This window comes from Homo sapiens, chromosome 3 (genome assembly GCF_000001405.40).
Source record: "Homo sapiens chromosome 3, GRCh38.p14 Primary Assembly".
In the NCBI taxonomy this organism is placed as follows: domain Eukaryota; kingdom Metazoa; phylum Chordata; class Mammalia; order Primates; family Hominidae; genus Homo; species Homo sapiens.
Window position 1 is genome coordinate 156,475,226 of NC_000003.12, and position 18,289 is coordinate 156,493,514.

Here is an 18,289-nt window from a genome sequence, read left to right on the forward strand (position 1 = left end):
GGTAGCAATGCTCAGTGGTGCCACCAGCAGGGATTCCACAGCAGTGACTGCTTCAAAATAAGATATCATTGCAGTTTGATTGTTGAGTCTCAAGGAGCTGCAACATTTTATCCCCCTTCTGTTATAACTGTTTGAGGACCACAGTTTAAGCTTCTCCCTGTGGAAGCTTTCAGAATGTTTCTAAAACCAGATTTTCTTCGATTTACATTTATTTACAGAACTTGCTAGGATGTTTGAGACAGAAGATAGTTTGAGAGGCTGAGGATGAATTAAAAAGAATGTTCCAGTTAACTGAAGTTTAAAATCATATGGATTATCACTTACCTGAGGTGATTGAGAATGAAGATATTTGAGAAAAAGAGCAAAAATGAATATTCTGGTTATTTGAACAGTATGATGTGGATTACCACTTTTAAAATAATTAGAATAGTTTGATTCACATGAGATTACATTGAAGGTAACTTTGTCCTTGATGATTCAAAAGGCAGGATCTTGTAATAAATCAGGCTCTGTAAAGAGTGGTTCTTGTTATAGGGTTATAGAAGGGTTATAGTAATGGAAAAGTATAAATGATTGACATATTATAAATTTTTCTGGGTTGTATTTCTGACCATAAAAAAGTTATGGAAATTATTTTCCTTGCCATTTGTCTCATTCTCAACTACAGAGAAATGTAAAATATATATAGTCTTATAACTAACTTTCTCCTACAGTTTTCTTCTTTCTTGAATCCGGGTAAAATTAGGAGTTTATTATAAAGCAGTATCAGCGTGGGAAATTTTCCATGGAAATGACATAAAACTGCATATTTTTTGTCAAAGCAAAGATTAGGTGTTTGAGAAAGCAAATCATAAGCATTTTATTAGTATAAGAAGTATTTATTGCAAGGATAATATGACGTTATTCAACTCTTTTTTTTATTTTTTATCTTATTTTTCCATAAGTTATTGGGGTACAGGTGGTAGTTGGTTACATGAGTAAGTGCTTTAGCGGTGATTTGTAAGATTTTGGTGCACTTATCACTAGAGCAGAATACACTGCACCATATTTGTAGTCTTATCCCTCACTCCTCTCCCACTCTTCCCCCCAAGTCCCCAAAGTCCACTGTAGCATGCTTATGTCTTTGTGTCCTCATAGCTTAGTTCTCACATATCGGTGAGAACACACAACGTTTGGTTTCCCATTCCTGGGTTACTTCACTTAGAATAATAGTCTCCAGTCTCATCCAGGTCACTGCAAATGCTGTTAATTCATTCCTTTTTATGGCTGAGTAGTATTCCATCATATATATATATATACACACACACACACACACACACACGCACACACACACACATATACACACACACACACATATATACACACACACATATATATATATCTCACAGTTTCTTTATCCACTCGTTGATTGATGGGCATTTGGGTTGGTTCCATGATTTTGCAATTGTGAATTGTGCTGCTGTAAACACGCGTGTTCTTTAAGGAATATTCACACTGTTTTCCATAGTGGCTGTACTAGTTTACGTTCCCACCAGCAGTGTAGAAATGTTCCAGTCAATTCTTAATGACACATTAAAACAGAGCACTAAAGTTATTTAGTCTGCAATAGTGTCAAGTAAAATGCCATTTAGTGGGGTCTATGAAAGACTGGAATTGCTTCACATTTTAAGTGCCTAGTGACTATTTTCCTCTTTTAGACAGTGTTCTTTGCAGTTATACCATGTACAGGATAGCAGAACATCTGAGATTTTTAAGAATTTTGTTCCCATCTTACCCCTACCTTTAATTTTAGGAATATATTGTAGGAGTCTCTCAAACAGAAAACATAATTTGCATTATATTTATAGAAGAAGGAGGAAATCCTCAATTAGGAGCCAAACTATGTGATACCAACAAGATAATGATGTCTCTTGTATCAATATTTATTACATGTTGAAATTTATTTTAAAAATCTTCAAAGTGTTTTAAAAAATAATTGCTGCTGCCCAGTGGAGTTCGTAACTGCAGCATTATTTAGCCTTTATGGGAATCAGAGAAAATTTACATTTTTCCTGAGTAGTTTCTTATATACAATTCCACAAAGCGGAATGGGAAGCTATTTTATCCTGAGTCATTTTCCAAGCTCAGAAGCATAATGAAGGGTGTCAAACAATGGAGATTCGCCACTTGTTGATAAGGTCAAGGCACATGGCATTTTGTAGCACAGCAGCAATCAACCACCTCATGCTGGAATGTTGCCTGCTCCCCCTCACTAGGAAGGGGAGACTCACCCCAGCAGGCCAATCAACCTCTGAGGCTTATTCTTCTGGGAGGACCCTGCAGGGACATTCCACAGGCAGCTCCTCATGCAGGACTTGTTCCAGATTGAAATAGCTTCCATGTGAGCTTTTCCTAGCTTTCAGAAAATGTTTATCCTCAAACTTAGTACACTCATTTGTTCCAAGGTGGGCCCACTGGAACAACCAGAGTTTGATATAAGTCTCTGGAAACACATCTATACATATAGTCTTTTCTACTTTACTGTACCGGGGGAAGGTACTGATCTGGGAAATAAAGAAGAAATAGGAAATAAAGAGACAGGACTGTCCGGTGGACTTGGGTACATTTGGCACCCTAAAAATGGGGGGAAAACAAGGTGCCTGTGTTAGTTCTGGATTCCATGTTGTTGAGAGTCACCTTTGCAACAATTTTGTAACTCATACAGTGTGTGTATGGGAATAAAGTTGTACATGTACAATGGGGGTATACCTTAGGAAGACTATCAGTGTTTCTAAAAACATTACAGAAGGCAAATGTTATTTATAATCAAATTACCCTTGAAAACACTACAGTAACTCTGTTAGTTAATGATATTCTATTGGCGTTAATTAATTATTCAATTTATTTTTCAAATGTGGTGAAAAAATCATCACCAGATAGTTGTCCAACCTTTTTTTTTCGGTAGTGGCAGAAAAATCCTTAATATCAAATGATACTACTTTTTTTCTTGTTTCAGCAACTCACGTTGGCTATTTTAGGTTCACTTGCATCCATTTCTGTTTAAGTGACACAACAGTGGTTGCCAAGTATATATTGTTGAGTATTTATATATTAAATCTACATTTATTAATACTATGGACCCTTAGCATTTGTAAATCATTTTTATTGATTTCAACTATTATTTGCCAACCCCATGGAGTCACAACCCACGCTGACATAATTCTGCTGAGGCACCTCTTTTAAACACAGGGGACGTAGCACTTTCAAATGAGTTCAGCCCAACCCAGTGCTTGCTCTTATTTGTCACTGATTACCAGGTAGCGCGGAGTACAAGAACTTGGGGACACTGAGAGTCTCCAGTCATAAACTATGCAAATGTCAAGGGTCATGTGTGTGCCCACAATGAGCATCGCTAAGATACATTTTAAACAACTTCCATTTAAATATTATTAAAATGCCAATTGTATTCATGTGGTTTCTACCATGAAATGATGTTAATCGGGAACATTTTAAAAATAAACCAAGACGAGCTTCATCCAGTTTCTACATATCATACAGCAACCATTTGAGCCAGAAAAAGATTAACTGCAGCATCTTTATAACATATTGGCATCATATATCTAATTAGTTTTTTCCTTCCCTTATTTCTTAGAAAATCAATAGACAAAAAGCGAGTCCTCTCAAAAGAATGGCTGTAAATTCCAAAGGTGCAATCAGTGGAGAAAGGGGTGAGAAACTTCATTCGCAATCTGCAACCCCATGGAATACAGTTAGACATTTTCAGGCTATGGGAAGATGTTCCTGACAATGGAGGGGAGCTTGTGTACTTTTTCCTCTGTCCCTCTTGTTTATTTTTTCTGGTTCACCTAGTAGTAAGTCATTTTTCTTTCACAGCATCTGCCATGCCATCTGTCTCTGCTACAATATCTGGCAACGATGGCATGTTTTCCAGTCCTAGAAAAAAATCAGCCCCACATCCCATTTCCTCCTTCTTATGGGTCTGTGTTCCTCCCAGTAGAGTCACTGACAGTTCTTTATGCTCTATGAAGCTCATATCCCTAATTCTGTCACTTCCACAAATCCCTAACCTGTATTTCAAAATCTTCTCTCGAGCTCATTAGACAAGAAAAAGTTCAGGCAATAGAGTCAGTCTGGACATGGATGGACACAGAGCATTTGTGTGTCCAAGGAGCCATATGAGGAGTTTTTTGGGTTTTTTTGTTTGTTTCTTTTGACTTTCTGTCATTCCCAAACACCAGGCTAATATCTCTACCTATACTCTTCTCACTGCTCCAGGAAGAACAGATTGAGCCTAACTGTGGTCATGAAAGGAAGGTATAAGCCTGTACCACTTGTAGACAACAGCAAGAAGAGGGGACACACTAACTTTTCGATCTGAAAATATGATTTTTAAATTAAATTAAATTTTAGTTAGTTTTTTATTTTAAAAACACTTGGATTTGAGTCCTTACTTTTCATATAGAGCTTGTTGCCAAGACTGATTATTCTTACAGAATTCCTGAGTCATTAAATATTATTTCCATGCTGATAACGGTTCCAGTTATTAATTTTTTCCTGCCAGCAGATCAGCACAGACATAAAGCAGCCCAGATGTCTCAATTTCAAATAAGAGAAGCAAGACCAAAGTTAGCTTCACTTATTCCCATAGTATCATCTTGTCAAATAACCCATTCCATAAGTATTTACTTCTTTCTAAGCCATCTTTTTTAGTGTTGTCATGTGAAAGCAGGCATCTATGGATATTCAGGGATTCAGGATATCCAATGACAACTTAGAAAATGCCAGAAAGCAAAAAACATTGCAGTATCCCAAATTTTCTACATTTTGACAGTTCCAAAATACTGGACCTAGATATTTAACTTCCAAAGTAAAAAGTTTTCAAAACCAAAATTAACCACCTAAAACCTAGAAACATCATTTAACCACAGTAGATCAGGCCTTCTGCCTCTATCTTTTATTATCTTCCCTGAAAGTTACCTTCAAGCCATTCGAAAAAACATGATATAGAAGGAAGAAATCTTCTGCAAATATTATCAGGGAGCTGTCCAATAGAAATATAATGCAAGCCACATATATATAATTTAAATTTTCTATTAGCTACATCATTAAAAAAGTAAAAAGAGAGAGGAACAACACATATCGGGGCCCGTTGTGGGGTGGGGGGCAAGGGGAGAGAGAGCATTAGGATAAATACCTAATTCATGCAGGGTATAAAGCCTAGATGACGGGTTGATGGGTGCAGCCAACCACCATGGCACATGTATACCTATGTAACAAACTTGCACGTCCTGCACATGTATTTCTGAACTTAAAGTAAAAAAAAAAAAGTAAAAAGAAACAGGTGAGGTTAGTTATTATATTTTATTTAATGTGATATATCAAAACTTACCACTTCAGCATGATCCATTAGTATCCAAAAGTTACTAATGGCATATATTACATTCTTTTTTTTCCCTACTAAGTCTTTGAAATCAGTTGTGTACACCCTAATTTGGAGCAACACATTTCAGCTGCTCAGTAGACAATTTTAATTAGGATCAGCCACATTTCAAGTGCTCAATAGCCACATGTGGCTAGTAGCTACTGTACTTGACCACGCAGGCTTATAAACCATATTCCCAGTCTGACAGAGCCGCAGACACATAGTAGGTGCTCAATAAATATTTATTGACTAGCTGGATGAATGACTGAGCAAGTGTTTGAGTGATTGAATGAATAAAGCTCCAAAGTTAAATAGCTCCAACTTCATTTTCCTCTACTTGAAAACCCATCTTGGTTTCCTAACCTCTATAAACATTCTAGTACCTGGTTCAACATATTTCAAGGAGATGTTGACAGGTTGCTGCCAAACAGCCCCAGGACACTTACATGCTGTTTCTCATCTACAATCACAGTAGCATCCAGATGCACTGCATCTCTCTTTAGAAATCTGATTGATATCTAAATGAGCAGAAATGAATAAAGGGACAATTTGGCAATACAGCTGCCCCCTGAGTATTACTGTATCAATTAAGATTATTTAATGCATTTCATTTATTACCCTGGCCAGGACGTTCCCAAGGCCTCTGGTGTACATCAGATCAATTTAACCCCCTGGTTTGAAAGCCCGGGACAGTTGAGTTTTCAAGAAATTAATTTGGAGAAAATGATTTTCATATCCAAGAAGATGAGCCAAACCCAGCCAAGCTTGTTGCAAAAAAAAAAAAAAAAAAGTGTTTCAATTTTAAAAAGCAGTTTTGTTTCCATTTTAACTGCAAATTCACCAAAAATTTTCCTGATACTTTAGGCCTATTTAGCTGATGTTTTGTCCTGTACAGACCAAAAAAATTGTGTCATAAAAAGACAAATTTATTTCATCCGTCCTAAGAAATGACAATGGGGGACAGTAGGGTTCACTTCAGGTTCTTTCCATCTCAAGTTCGTCTGTTTAGAAAATCTCATGTTTCTGTTCATAGTGGACCTCCTCATTGGAACAATATTTCTGCAGAGTGGACTAGGGCATTAGACAGACACAACTTCAAATTCTGGCTTTGCTACCTATCAGACTGTACACTTGGGAAAAGCTACTATCCTCACAGAGGCTCACTTTCCTCACCTGAAAACAGAGGAAACATAAAGCACCATCTGAATGAGTTAACAATGTGGTTACAGCACCTCACTCACAGCTGGGGCAAACAAACGTAAGCTCCATTTCTAGAATGCCCTAGGTAAGGCATGTAAAACTCTCCTTTCTCTGGATCTCTTCTCAGAGGTAATCATGGGAGAAGTCCAAGGCCCTGAAATTATAATATGATGAAAATCTAATGGAGATAGCCAAGCTGCAGGGCTGCACAGGATCTGTGATGAAGTCATGTAAGATTCAAGCCATGGAGTTGGCAGTGTAATTTTCTTATAGCCCTTTTTTTCCTCCTAAAATTTTGCTCTGAAACTCTTTATGCCCTTTAAGCTGATTTAATCATAAATTTTCCAGGGTTAATCTATTCAGCCTGAAAGGTGATCTTGTGCCTGTGACTTTATTTTCAAAGATGTCTCTAGAAAAAAAAAACAACTCAATAATAGGATTAACTCATTCATTCAGTTGATATTCACTGAATACTTACTATTTAAGCACTGTTTTGGGCACTTGGAGAAGCAGAAGTTAATAAACAAAAATCCTATCCTTAGAAAAATCACATTCTTGTTGGGGAGACAGACAAAAAGTTAGTAAGAAAGTTACATTAGATGGTGATAATAGAATGGAGAAACAAACTAATCATGGGAGGGGGCTAGGAAGTTATGGGGGTAGATTTTAGTTAGGATGACCTAATAGGAGGAAATGGTGGGCAGTGGGGAGGGGGTTTGGAAAATAGCTTGGACTCCTCCAAAATAGCAAAGGTATGGCATTAAGAGTCAGACCTCAATTCAAATCCTCTTTCTGTTACGAGCCAATTGATCTTAGGCAAGTTATTGAACTTCTCTTGTCCCTGGTTTTCTTATCTGTAGAACGTAGGTAATAATATCTGCTCTATAGGGTTATTGTGAGGATTATTTGAGATAATATACACAAAATGCTTAGGATGTTGCCTAGTAACTACTCGAAATTTAGAGCTACCATTTTTGTTATTATTACTGTTTGTATAGTACTGCTGTAATTTTTTTATGCAGGAAATTACCTTGATGCAATTGTAGTCTCCAGGTCTACTACCAGGTTATCCTAGAGGTCTCAAAGAAGAAGGCTAACACAACAAATTAAGATGCATGAGTCACATGGTTTATCAAATCAATTAAAACACATTATGAGAAGAAAGAGGGGAAGAGATAGGGACAGTTAAAATAATTACACTAGAATTCACGCAGGAGAAAGAACCCAGCTACTTAAATCTTGGGACACACAGTGCTCATGTGACCTGTTCTCTCTATCTACCACATTGACCTTCTCCGTGGTGTGATTATATAGGTCAAATCTGAGGTTTCAGCAAGGGGCTCAGCAAGGAAAAGATGCCCGGGTCAGTAGTATACTTGGAAAGACACAGGGACAAGCCCACCTGGCCATGACCTGTAGCTCATCATTTGGCCTGATGAACAGCTAAGGACTATTTGCATTCCTTGCACAGAGGATTTCTGTGGCTAGAATGGGGGTCACCAATGGGTGGCTGACTGAAGACTTAAGTTCTCATATTTTATGTATTTATATTTAGTATATTTCAAATGTTTGATGTCGTATGCATATGGATATGTTGTCAATATCACCTCTTTCCATTCCTCCCTCCTATCTGTGTTCAGCATGCACATTCTCTACTTTGTTGATGGCCACTATGACTCAGGGGTTACTAATCCACTTAGTTTTACCATGCTCATCATATAAATTCTGCCTATGTCTCACAAGCTACTTGCATCTCCACCCAGTTTCATTTATCCTCTTTCTTTGTTTCACTTTCTTTCTTGAGCAGAACTGAATAATCTTAAGTCATACAGCAAAGGCACATTACAGAGTTCACCACTCTCAGTTGTTGACATGTTGCCTCAGGTCCGGCAAATCTTCCAGGCCTGTTGAAAAATTTCCAGCATTAACAAGAGGCCCACAAAGTTCTGACTGTGGATCATTCTGATATGCATCTATAAGAACAGAGCCCCTGGTTAACAAATGATCTTTTCCAACTGGGTTCCATAGAAAGAACAAGAGCTTTAGAGAAATTACCTTTACTAGAACTACTGAGAAGTTAACAATTGCCAAGGCTGCAGAAAATATGTGAAGAGCTGGCTTTAAAGAAAACTATACTCCAGAAAAACAATTGTACTCATCTGGTGTTGTATTTTCCGCTTTCTTTGGAAATCAGTGATTCCCAACCTTATTCCATAAAGTCCTGGTTTGAAGGGAAGATTCTAAAGAAGGATATGCTTATATGCTATGCAGTTTACTTCCTCTATTTTCTCTCCTCCCTCCCCCACCTTTTTTTTCTTTCATGACATCTTTACTCAACAGCGAAGGCAGAAGAGATTCAATCTGTATCATTCAGTAAGTTAAAAAAGGAAAAACAAGGTGGGCCAAATGTTTGGGAGACTATTGTACCTTCTCACAACAAGTCTGTGGACTTCACCAAGCTCCAAAAGGATGCTTTTTTCTTCTTCTTCTTTTTCCCTTAAGTTGTTTTTAGTTAAGAAAAAAGAGAGAGAGAGAGGGAGAACAGAGAGTGCTTCTGCTCACCCCAGCTGTCAGGTGAAAAACAGAGCTGCTTAGTATTCTGGGGCTGTGGGTTTATGACTCATGTGCACTTCCTTCTGTGAGTTGTCATTTCTCTGAGAGATATTTGGAGTTGTGACAAAATTTAACTCCATATTCTGAGGGGATGTTGACTGGATCTCAGGAGAATTCATTTCTGTAAGTTCCTCGATCTGCTGCAGCAGATCTGCAGTGACATGCAGAGGACTTGGAGACTAACATGACTTAGCAGCAACACACTCTGAGGGTTTACTGGCATGCTGATTGAATGCAGTGAGCAGAGCCACCTGTGTCAGGGTAATCGAAAATTCTCAGACAGCCGGGGATAAACAAATACCCTCGAGTCTCTCTCTTACTTTCTGTACAAAAGGAAGTATTAATAATGAGAGTAAGTGGTTTTGTTAACCCCCCTCCTGAATATTTAATATGTGTCCTAAAAAAATATGAGGTCTGCAATCAGAAGGTGAGGGCGTTAGTCTTAGGTATATAAACTTGGCTGAGTTGCTCAGACCTTCAGCTTCTCAGTTTTTCATTTGTAAAATGGGAAGAATAAAAATATTCTAGCTATTTCCAAGATTGTTGTGAAGACAAAATGAGATAAGTGGAAACATGTTATAAATTGTAATTGTCCTGCACAAATATTTTGAGGTTGTTGTTGTTACATATGTTTACACTTTTAGGAATATATAAACCTTGGAAGATGTAATAATCAAAGTTTCAGCCAGACACCAAGAAACAATTGAAATGACATTTTAGAGTGAGATGCCAGTTCTCCATTTGTACTTTCAAATGAAGTGTGCAAGAGCTTGTTCCATAGCTCTTTCTTCCCCCAACTTTTTATTTTGAGAAATTAAAAACTTATAGAAATGGTGAAAGAATAAACACCCAATACTCTTCACCTACATTTACCAAATTGTGCCACATTTTGCCTTTGTTTTTCCCTCTCTTGTTCTTTGCCATTGTGACATTTCATTCATAAATATTTTCTCCAGTATCTCCTGAGAATAAGGCATTCTTCTATATGACCATAACACAATCATCATACTCAAGAATATTCAAGCCATATTCAAATTTTCTAAAATGTCCTTTATAGGATTTATTTGTTTTGCTTTTTTGGGGGGGGCATGAATCCTGCAGTACATTTAATTGTCATGACTGTTAAATTTTTTTATTTTATTCTATTTTAGATTCGGGGGTACATGTGCAGGTTTGTTACATGGGTATATTACATAATGCTGAGCTTTGGGCTTCTAGTGAACTGATCACCCAAATAGTGAACATTGTACCCAATAGGGAGTTTCTTAAGACTCACCACCCTGCCACCCTCCCCTCTTTTGGAGTCCCCATTGTCTAGTATTTCCATCTTCATGTCCTTGTGTAGCCCTTGTTTAGTTCCCCCTTACAAGTGAGAACATGACGTATTTGATTTTCTGATTCTATTTCACTTAGAATAATAGCCTCCAGCTCCGCCCATGTTGCTGCAAAGGACATGATTTCATTCTTTTTTCTGTCTGCATACTATTCCATAGTATTTTCCACACTGTTTTCCGAGGGCCCAGGAGGGTTGCTGCATCCCATTGCTGGTCCTGTTCAGGTTGATCACTCGATTCAAGTGATGTCTGCCAGGTTTCTCCCCTGTGACAGTACCTCTTTAACTTTATAACTAATAAATAACCTAGAATGTGATTATTTGAGACTATGTGAATAGCCTGTCCCCCACAACCTTGTTTTAGCACCCACCAAGGATCCCTGCCTGTGTCCGCTTTTATAAGGAGGGCTGTGAGACGGTGCTTTCCTGATTCCATCAGCTCCTCTTTCTTTAGGAGTTGGTTTTCTTCTACAAAGAGAAGCTTTCCCTTCTGCTCTTACCCTACTCTCTGTTCAGTGACTCTGGAGCTCCTCACTGGCTTCAAAAGTATAAAAGTTGAGAGAGGGGAGTAAAGGGGGTCTAGTGAGAAGGGCACGTATGAAGAAAACTGTGCTGTGAGCTCCATCCACCCCAGCATGGGAGAAGGCTGCCTCTTCATTGCCACCCTGGTTGGGATGGGGGTTTGAAGGCCATTCAGATGGTTTAAAACATTACCCCCATGACTGGGGAGCATAGTGGCCTAGGAGCTGATGCATGCCTGGAAAATCCAGGGGTAAAGAGGTGGGCTGACTATCTGTCTTGGTGGCACCACTGGGGGAGTGCTGACCTCCTGGGACTGGTAGGGAAGGTAGTTACAAATGTCTCCTGTGTGGGGTCTTCTTGAGTCCTGCCCTTCAGGGCCTCCTGGAGGATGAAGGCTGGAGGACAGGGATTTGAGGGAGAAAATAGAGAAACAGAGAAACCAAACATACCTGACACTCTTGTAGTCTTCTAGCCTAAACAGGTCCCAGCTTGGGCAGAGGAAAAGAGTTTGAGTTTGAAGTTTGATTGAGATTGTTGGAGGATGTGCTTATGACTTAAAATGACTTTAGGTCTCTGTATTACCATAGAATGAGCAGAAAAGATGTGGGACCAGTCTGAGTTTTCATCAAGGCCAAAGGATACTTGCTCTACTGAATGTTAAGGACCAGTAGGAGATTTAAAAAAATTAAGCTGAAGGATTACATTATCATTAGTTATGCTTGTTACACGTTTAAATACCTAAGTTTAAATCTGACTTAAATTACATGCACATGCCAAAAAAATTTAACTCTTAGTTTCAGAAACAAATTTGTTTACTTTATATGAAAATACCATTAAGTCCAATATAACTGGAAGTTTAGGAAAACCTTATGTGCTTAAGATTCGAGTCTCCATAAATTACAGAATAAAGCACTTGGCCCCCTGTATAAAATTCATACATTATACAAAGACATCCCTCATACTCCAGCACTACTTCACCCCACATACCCTCCTTGGGAATCTGAAAACTTTTGAGGTGTCACTTCAACTTTGGGAAGTAATTATTTGTTAATGTTCAAATAGTGGAAAATATTATATGCCACAAAAGCCTCAACCTCTGCAGTTTGGAATTTACCCATCATTTCTAAATGTATCCCCATGTTAAGTTTTATGTATTTGTTTTAAATTCAAAAGGGAAAGCGTGTGTTGTGTCTAGCTCCAGTGAAGCCAATCATACAAAATTGCTGATAATTAAATAAGATACTTTTAGACTTAAAATTTTGACAATCCAAATATAGTCAGCTCAGAATTTGCTTATTCAAGAAAACCATTTTGTTTGTTTTTAAGGGCCAGTGGATGGAACAGTTTGTACAGGGAAGCAGTAGGAAGGGAAAGAAAGCTTAGTGTTAACCAATATTCTTCTGTATTAAGGGCAAAAAGGAAAGCATTGTATCATCGCCTTTGAAACTAGAAGCAAGTTTGGTAATTAAACAAACCCAATAACCACTTTAAAATGAATGTTTTTATCTAATGAGATAGGAGATAAACCCATCTGACAAGAGAATTCACATAAAACTTAACAAAAAGCCAAAAAAGGGAGATAAAAAAAAAATAAAAAATGGGTAAGAGGAAAGAATGAAATTTTGTTTCTCTCATCCCTACTCTCTTCCTGAGCAGAGATCAAATGTTGCAAGACCCTGTCTCAAAAACCCTACGTAATGCATTTTAAATGTCACCATATAGTACTCAGATGACCCACAGAAGAACATGACATAGTATAAACACTCAGGTGCAAAACCTGGCCTTGTGCATTTATTCATATCCAACTAATATTTATTGAGTGTCTACTGTATACCACAGCATACATAGGATTTATTAGAGAACAACATAGACAAAGATCCCAGCCCCTGTTGGGCACATTCTTTCTGGCAGGAGAGATAAGAAACAATAATATAACAAAAAGTTAAATTGTATAGAATATTAGATGTTGATGGGTGCTATAAAAAAAAAAAAAAGAAAAACTAAAGCAGGGAAATTAGAATGGGAATGCTTAGGAAGTTGGAGTTGGCCATTGAGAAGGTAGGGTTTGAGCAAGGACTTGAAGAAGTCAGGTGAATAGCCATAAGAGAGATAAGGAGACTACTTCTGGCTGTAGAAACAGTGCAAAGGCCCTGAGATGGGAGCCTTCTGTCATGTTTGAGGAACGTCAAGGACATAGATGTGGCTGCAGCAGAGTAAGGAAGGGGGAAGGTAGAAGGAGACGAGTTTAGAGAAATAAGTGAGGCCAGATCTTTGGGCTCTCTGAATTTTTGACAAAAAAGTGACGTGACTTGACTTACATTTCAAAAGGATACCTCCTCCTTGGATTGAGAATACGTTATAGGGGCAGCCTTCTCAATAGCCAACTCCAGAGTCCTAAGCATTCCCTCCTTGGATTGAGAATACATTATAGGGGCAAATGTAGGAGCAGGGAGATATGTTAAAAAATGGTTATAGCAATCTAGATGAGAGAATAGGGTGCAGATGAGGGCACTAGCCGTGGACTGTAATGTGGTTCAGTTTGGATAAATAATGAAGTTAGAGGCAACGGAAGTTCCTGGTGAATTAGATATGAGCGTGACTGAAAGAAAAGAGTGAAGAATGACTCCAAGGTTTTAGGCCTGAGTCACCAAAAGGATGGAGTTGCCATCAGTTGATATGGGATTCATAGCTGATATGGAACCAGCTGTGGGGAAGCTCAGGGGTTTGAGTTTAGTCATCTTGAGTTTGAAATGTTTATTAGGTGGCCAAGTGAAGATGCTGAGTAGGGAGTTAGACACCAAAGCTGAAACTCCATCTTGGGATGAAGGCATAAATTTGGGAGCTGTCTGCATGCGAATGGTATTTCAACCCTTGAGAATTGATGAAATCACACAAGTAGTAAAAGCAGAAAAAAAAGAAGATATAGAAAGAAAGGACTGAGGACTGAGCTCTGGGACTCTCCAGTGTTAGGAGGTTGAGAGGATGGGGAGAAGCGTGTAATGTTCAAGAAAGAAATAAAGAAATCACATCAAAGAGGAAGAAGGGATCAACTATATCAAATGTTACCGATAGGTCAAGTAAGATGAAGACGGGATCAGCTATATCAAATGTTACTGATAGGTCAAGTAAGATGAAGACTGAACATTGTCTATTGGTGTTAACAATGTGGAAATCTTTAACAACATTGACAAGAGAGTTCTGGTGAAGTAAGAAGGGAGTGGGTGAGTAAAAGCCACTTAGCCTCTGACTCACAGTTTCCTAATTTGGAAAAAAGTAAGGAAACATCTGGAATTAGCAGGACAAAGTAAAAATGCTTCTACCCTTTCCTTTTAAAAAATAAAAAGCTACCCAATACACAACACAGAGACAAAGAAACAGAAATAGAAACTTCATTTCTCATGAAAGTGTCAGTGAACTGAAAACCTAGACCAATATGTATGAAAATGGAAAAGGGATGAGGATTATAAATGACTTAGCAGAACTGAGGAAAGATTTTTTTTAAGTGCCTGCAGATGAGTAACAACTTAACATGTACCACACAACCTCAGGATGGTTCATCTATTAGAGAATCCAATGTCACGGAAGATGGGGGTGAGGCAGGGACCAGGAACAAGGTAGTTCTTTAAAAGAGGATACAGAGCTACTAAAGCTCATGTCCCCAGGTCTGCAGTCAGTGTCCTGCCTTTCTCCTCCAATGAAGGAAGAGGAGTTTTATTAACTGGAGACATTGAGTTGACAGGCTCTAAGCTGAGAGATATCAGGCACAGAGCAAGGTGGAGCCAGGCTGCAAATAAAAAGACTATGAGACTTGAGACCCCAGACCCCTTCTCTCACCCATGTCCAGGTCACCAGCAGCCAGGTCACACCCTCCCCATGCAGAAGACAGAGTATCTCCTAGGAGACAATTAACTGTCCCAGGAAAAATTCTAACAGATATTGACATTGTTGTGGAAGAAAACCCTATTGAAAATTACAGCATGAATGGCACTAGTGGACAAACACCGTTCAAGCACAATTTTAGTGCTTTATTCTTAAATGTGAACTGAAACCCAAGGATCATCTGACATTCAAAGAAAGTCTCTAACAGGAAAAGAAGCTCAAATAAATAGAAAAAAGAAAACAGAGTAATGCAGAGAGATACAGAAATGTTCAAAGAAACTATAATATACTTGGTGATATAAGAGAAGGTACTACATCAATAGAACAGAAACGAGATGGAAAAGAGCAAGAACAACATAGAACTAGAAAAAGATTTTACATATTTAAAATACAATGGCTAATTTTTTAAAGTCAATTAGAATGCTGGACATTAAAGTTGAGAAAATATTCCAGAAAGTAAAAGAGAAAAAGGAATGGACAATAGGAGAGAAAAGATAAGAAAATAAGGTTCTGTCCACGAGTCCAACATCTTTTCAACTGAAGGATATCTTGAGAGAGAACAGATAAAATGGAGGAGGGGGAGTTATCGCAAAGCAATACAAGAAAATTTCCAGATCGGAAGAACACAAGTCTCCAGATGGAAAGTGCCCACTCAGTACCCAATACAGTGAATAGAGATTGACGCAAAGAAACATTATCATGAGATTTCACAACTGAAAAGAGAAAGAAAAGCATCCTAATACATTTCAGAGATTTAATTGAATACACACATGAAGGATCCAGAAAAAAGATTGCTGGATTCTCAACAGCAACATGGGGAACCAAAACACCATGAAGCAGGCCTTCAAAATTCTAAGCAAAAAGATGATGGGCAAACTACAAACCAAGGGTGAAGAAGTAATGTCATTTTGACTTTCCTGTCTCTCAAACACAATTTCTCCACAAGCTGCTGGAAAATATGTTCCACCAACACATAAAGATAAAGCCACAAAGTGGAAGCCATGGGATCCAATTCATTAAAGGGAGGAGAAGAATTTTCCAGATAATGGGAAGGAAAACGCCAAGAGGACAGCCATGCAGCAGGCACAGAAAGTGACCAGCAGAGACTGCAGCAGGACGATGGAGGGCTCTAGAAGAAATGTTGCCAGGAAAACAAAAAGGAACTGAGTTTCTTATCAGCTTGACCATGTGGAAAACTGTACTGAGAGATATTTGGAGCTCGGCTGTAGCTCCAAATCAAACTAAATTAATAAAGCAATTGTTTAATGAAAGGTAACATGAAAATATATGGGAGAAAGGAAATACAATCATTATAGATGACTTTGCTCAGCCATGGATATTAAATACTTAGTCATAAAAATGAAAACACAGTGAATTATACTTACATTTGTGAGATAAACTTAACTTGCTTATGATGTATTATTTTATCATTTTAAATATCATACTATATCTGGTAAGCTAATATTTAATTTAGGACTTTTATGCCTATATTCATAAAAAAAATTAGCCTGTAATTTATTTTCTTATATTGCCTTTATTTGGCTTTGGAGGTCTTTTTACTCCTCTTATAGGGCCACAGGACTCTATAAATAATGAATATTTAATACACGCTAGCTATCTAATATTATTCCTTGATGAAAAAATAGGAGGTGATAAAATTAGGAAACAATAAAAAGAACAGAACCAGATAGAGAACTCTAAGTGTCCTGATTAGCACTGCATAGTATCAGAGAAATTATTCGATTCTGGAATGTAATTTGGCTAAATTTAATTACACCATCCTCTTTTAAAACATCAAGACACAGACAAGAATGTAAGTCTTTTGTTTCAGGTCTCATAGCTAATTATTGGAGGAACTAGAACTAGAATCCAATTATCCAGAATTCTGACTCCTAGCCCTAGTGCTCCTATAAAAATGTATATTAATAGATACTAACTATGTCACCTCTAATTTGGTTGGTGATAGGTACATTCCATTTCAAAAAATAAAAGTGAATTGAGCGTTTCTTTCTTACCTACAATAAACGCAGGACCATATTAAGTGCTATAAAGAATAAAAAAGAAGATAAAAGCCTTAACATATTGGTTACTTCTTTTAATTGCTCATTCTGAAGTGCAAGCCCCTCCCCTTGAATCTGGACATGCTCTGTGACAGCTTTAACCAAAACAATAAGACACAAGTGATGTTATATTAGTTTGGGGGCCCAGGCCTAAGAAGCTGGCAGCTTTCATTCCACTTTTTTTTAGCACTCACTCTCCAAGCCCTGAACTGCCATATGGAGACACCATATATACAGAGAAGTACCCAGCCAATCCTCAGTTGTTCCAGCCATCCCAGCCCAGGCACCAGAGATGTTAGGGAAGAAATTCAGATACTCCTACCTCAGCTTCTGTATGACTACAACTGCAGGAGGAGTCACAAGCAACACCCAGCTGAGTCCAACAACCCCAAAGCTGTGAGAAATAAAATGTTTAAGCCACTAAAAAAATGAAAACACAAAATATGAACTTAACCCAAAGTTGAGATATGAATATATTAATAAGATAGTGGGTGTTGAAGGATATATGAGAGGAAGCTAAAGGCTTCATCTCCAGGAGAGGTCAACAGATAATGTCTCAAAAGGCTGAACCAAGAGAGCAATACGTAAATATTATTGAGAAATACAGAGCTTAATACCAGAGTGCACAGCTACGTAAGTTGGAAGTAGTTCCTTCTGCAGTGCATGGAAAGAGTTCAAGGGACTGCTGCTTTTTGTTACAAGCCTTTGAGCATTGACTCTTTAAATACTGTGCATGTATTACTTTGACAAAGCTAAAGAGTAAAACAATAACCACACAAATGGGATAAAAATACCAGTGGTTTTGAGTGGTCAGTATTAAATATGGCTGTGTCTGTCAAAGTCTAGACACAGTCCTTAGGGTTTAGAAACACACAACCAATTTTAGTTTTTCCAGCCCAGATTCCTTGATCAGATGCCAACCCGTCTCTCACCAGATCCCTCCAGAAATATGCCCACACCAGAGCCCCACCCACCTCTTCCTAAACAAGCTGTAGGGAGCCTGACTTCTTCCTCAGTAACCACCAAAGTGGGCTGTGCCAGATAATCCATTGCAGGATACTAAGAAAATATTACTATTTCTATTTTACAGCATCCTTTTTCTTTTTTTAAAAAATGAATCCTTCACTGAAATTATATTATCCTTTTTGGAGTTTCTATTTGTTGTATGTACTTTTGTCTATTTTTAAACTTTCCACTGATATAATTTCAGACATAAAAAGTAAGGAAAATAGTACCAAAGATTTCTATATGCCCCTCACC

The 18,289-nt window shown here is 38.0% G+C and overlaps 1 protein-coding gene across 11 annotated transcripts in view, besides 3 other annotated features; it reads left to right on the forward strand.

The window, feature by feature from the left end:
- Positions 1 to 18,289, forward strand: part of KCNAB1 (potassium voltage-gated channel subfamily A regulatory beta subunit 1) — a 420,928-nt gene that overhangs the window by 357,015 nt on the left and 45,624 nt on the right. The window contains exon 9 of one of the 11 annotated variants that reach the window (XM_017007174.3): positions 219 to 16,973. The exons of the other annotated variants lie outside the window; for them this stretch is intronic. Within the exon in view, the coding sequence (XP_016862663.1) occupies positions 219 to 262 (44 nt within the window). The 3' untranslated portion in view covers positions 263 to 16,973. Of the gene's footprint in view, positions 1 to 218; positions 16,974 to 18,289 lie in introns of those variants that run through there. 11 annotated transcript variants of the gene reach the window in all.
- Positions 7,837 to 9,036: an enhancer, noted in NCBI's record as "CDK7 strongly-dependent group 2 enhancer chr3:156200851-156202050 (GRCh37/hg19 assembly coordinates)". NCBI's record gives its function as "activates an origin of replication core promoter dependent on BRD2, BRD4, P300/CBP, MED14 and CDK7 cofactors, with strong dependence on CDK7, by STARR-seq in HCT116 cells {active_cell/tissue: HCT116}" and the evidence as "EXISTENCE:reporter gene assay evidence [ECO:0000049][PMID:35650434]".
- Positions 8,270 to 8,529: an enhancer, noted in NCBI's record as "active region_20726". NCBI's record gives its function as "activates an Ori minimal core promoter by ATAC-STARR-seq in GM12878 lymphoblastoid cells {active_cell/tissue: GM12878}" and the evidence as "EXISTENCE:reporter gene assay evidence [ECO:0000049][PMID:35858748]".
- Positions 8,560 to 8,649: an enhancer, noted in NCBI's record as "active region_20727". NCBI's record gives its function as "activates an Ori minimal core promoter by ATAC-STARR-seq in GM12878 lymphoblastoid cells {active_cell/tissue: GM12878}" and the evidence as "EXISTENCE:reporter gene assay evidence [ECO:0000049][PMID:35858748]".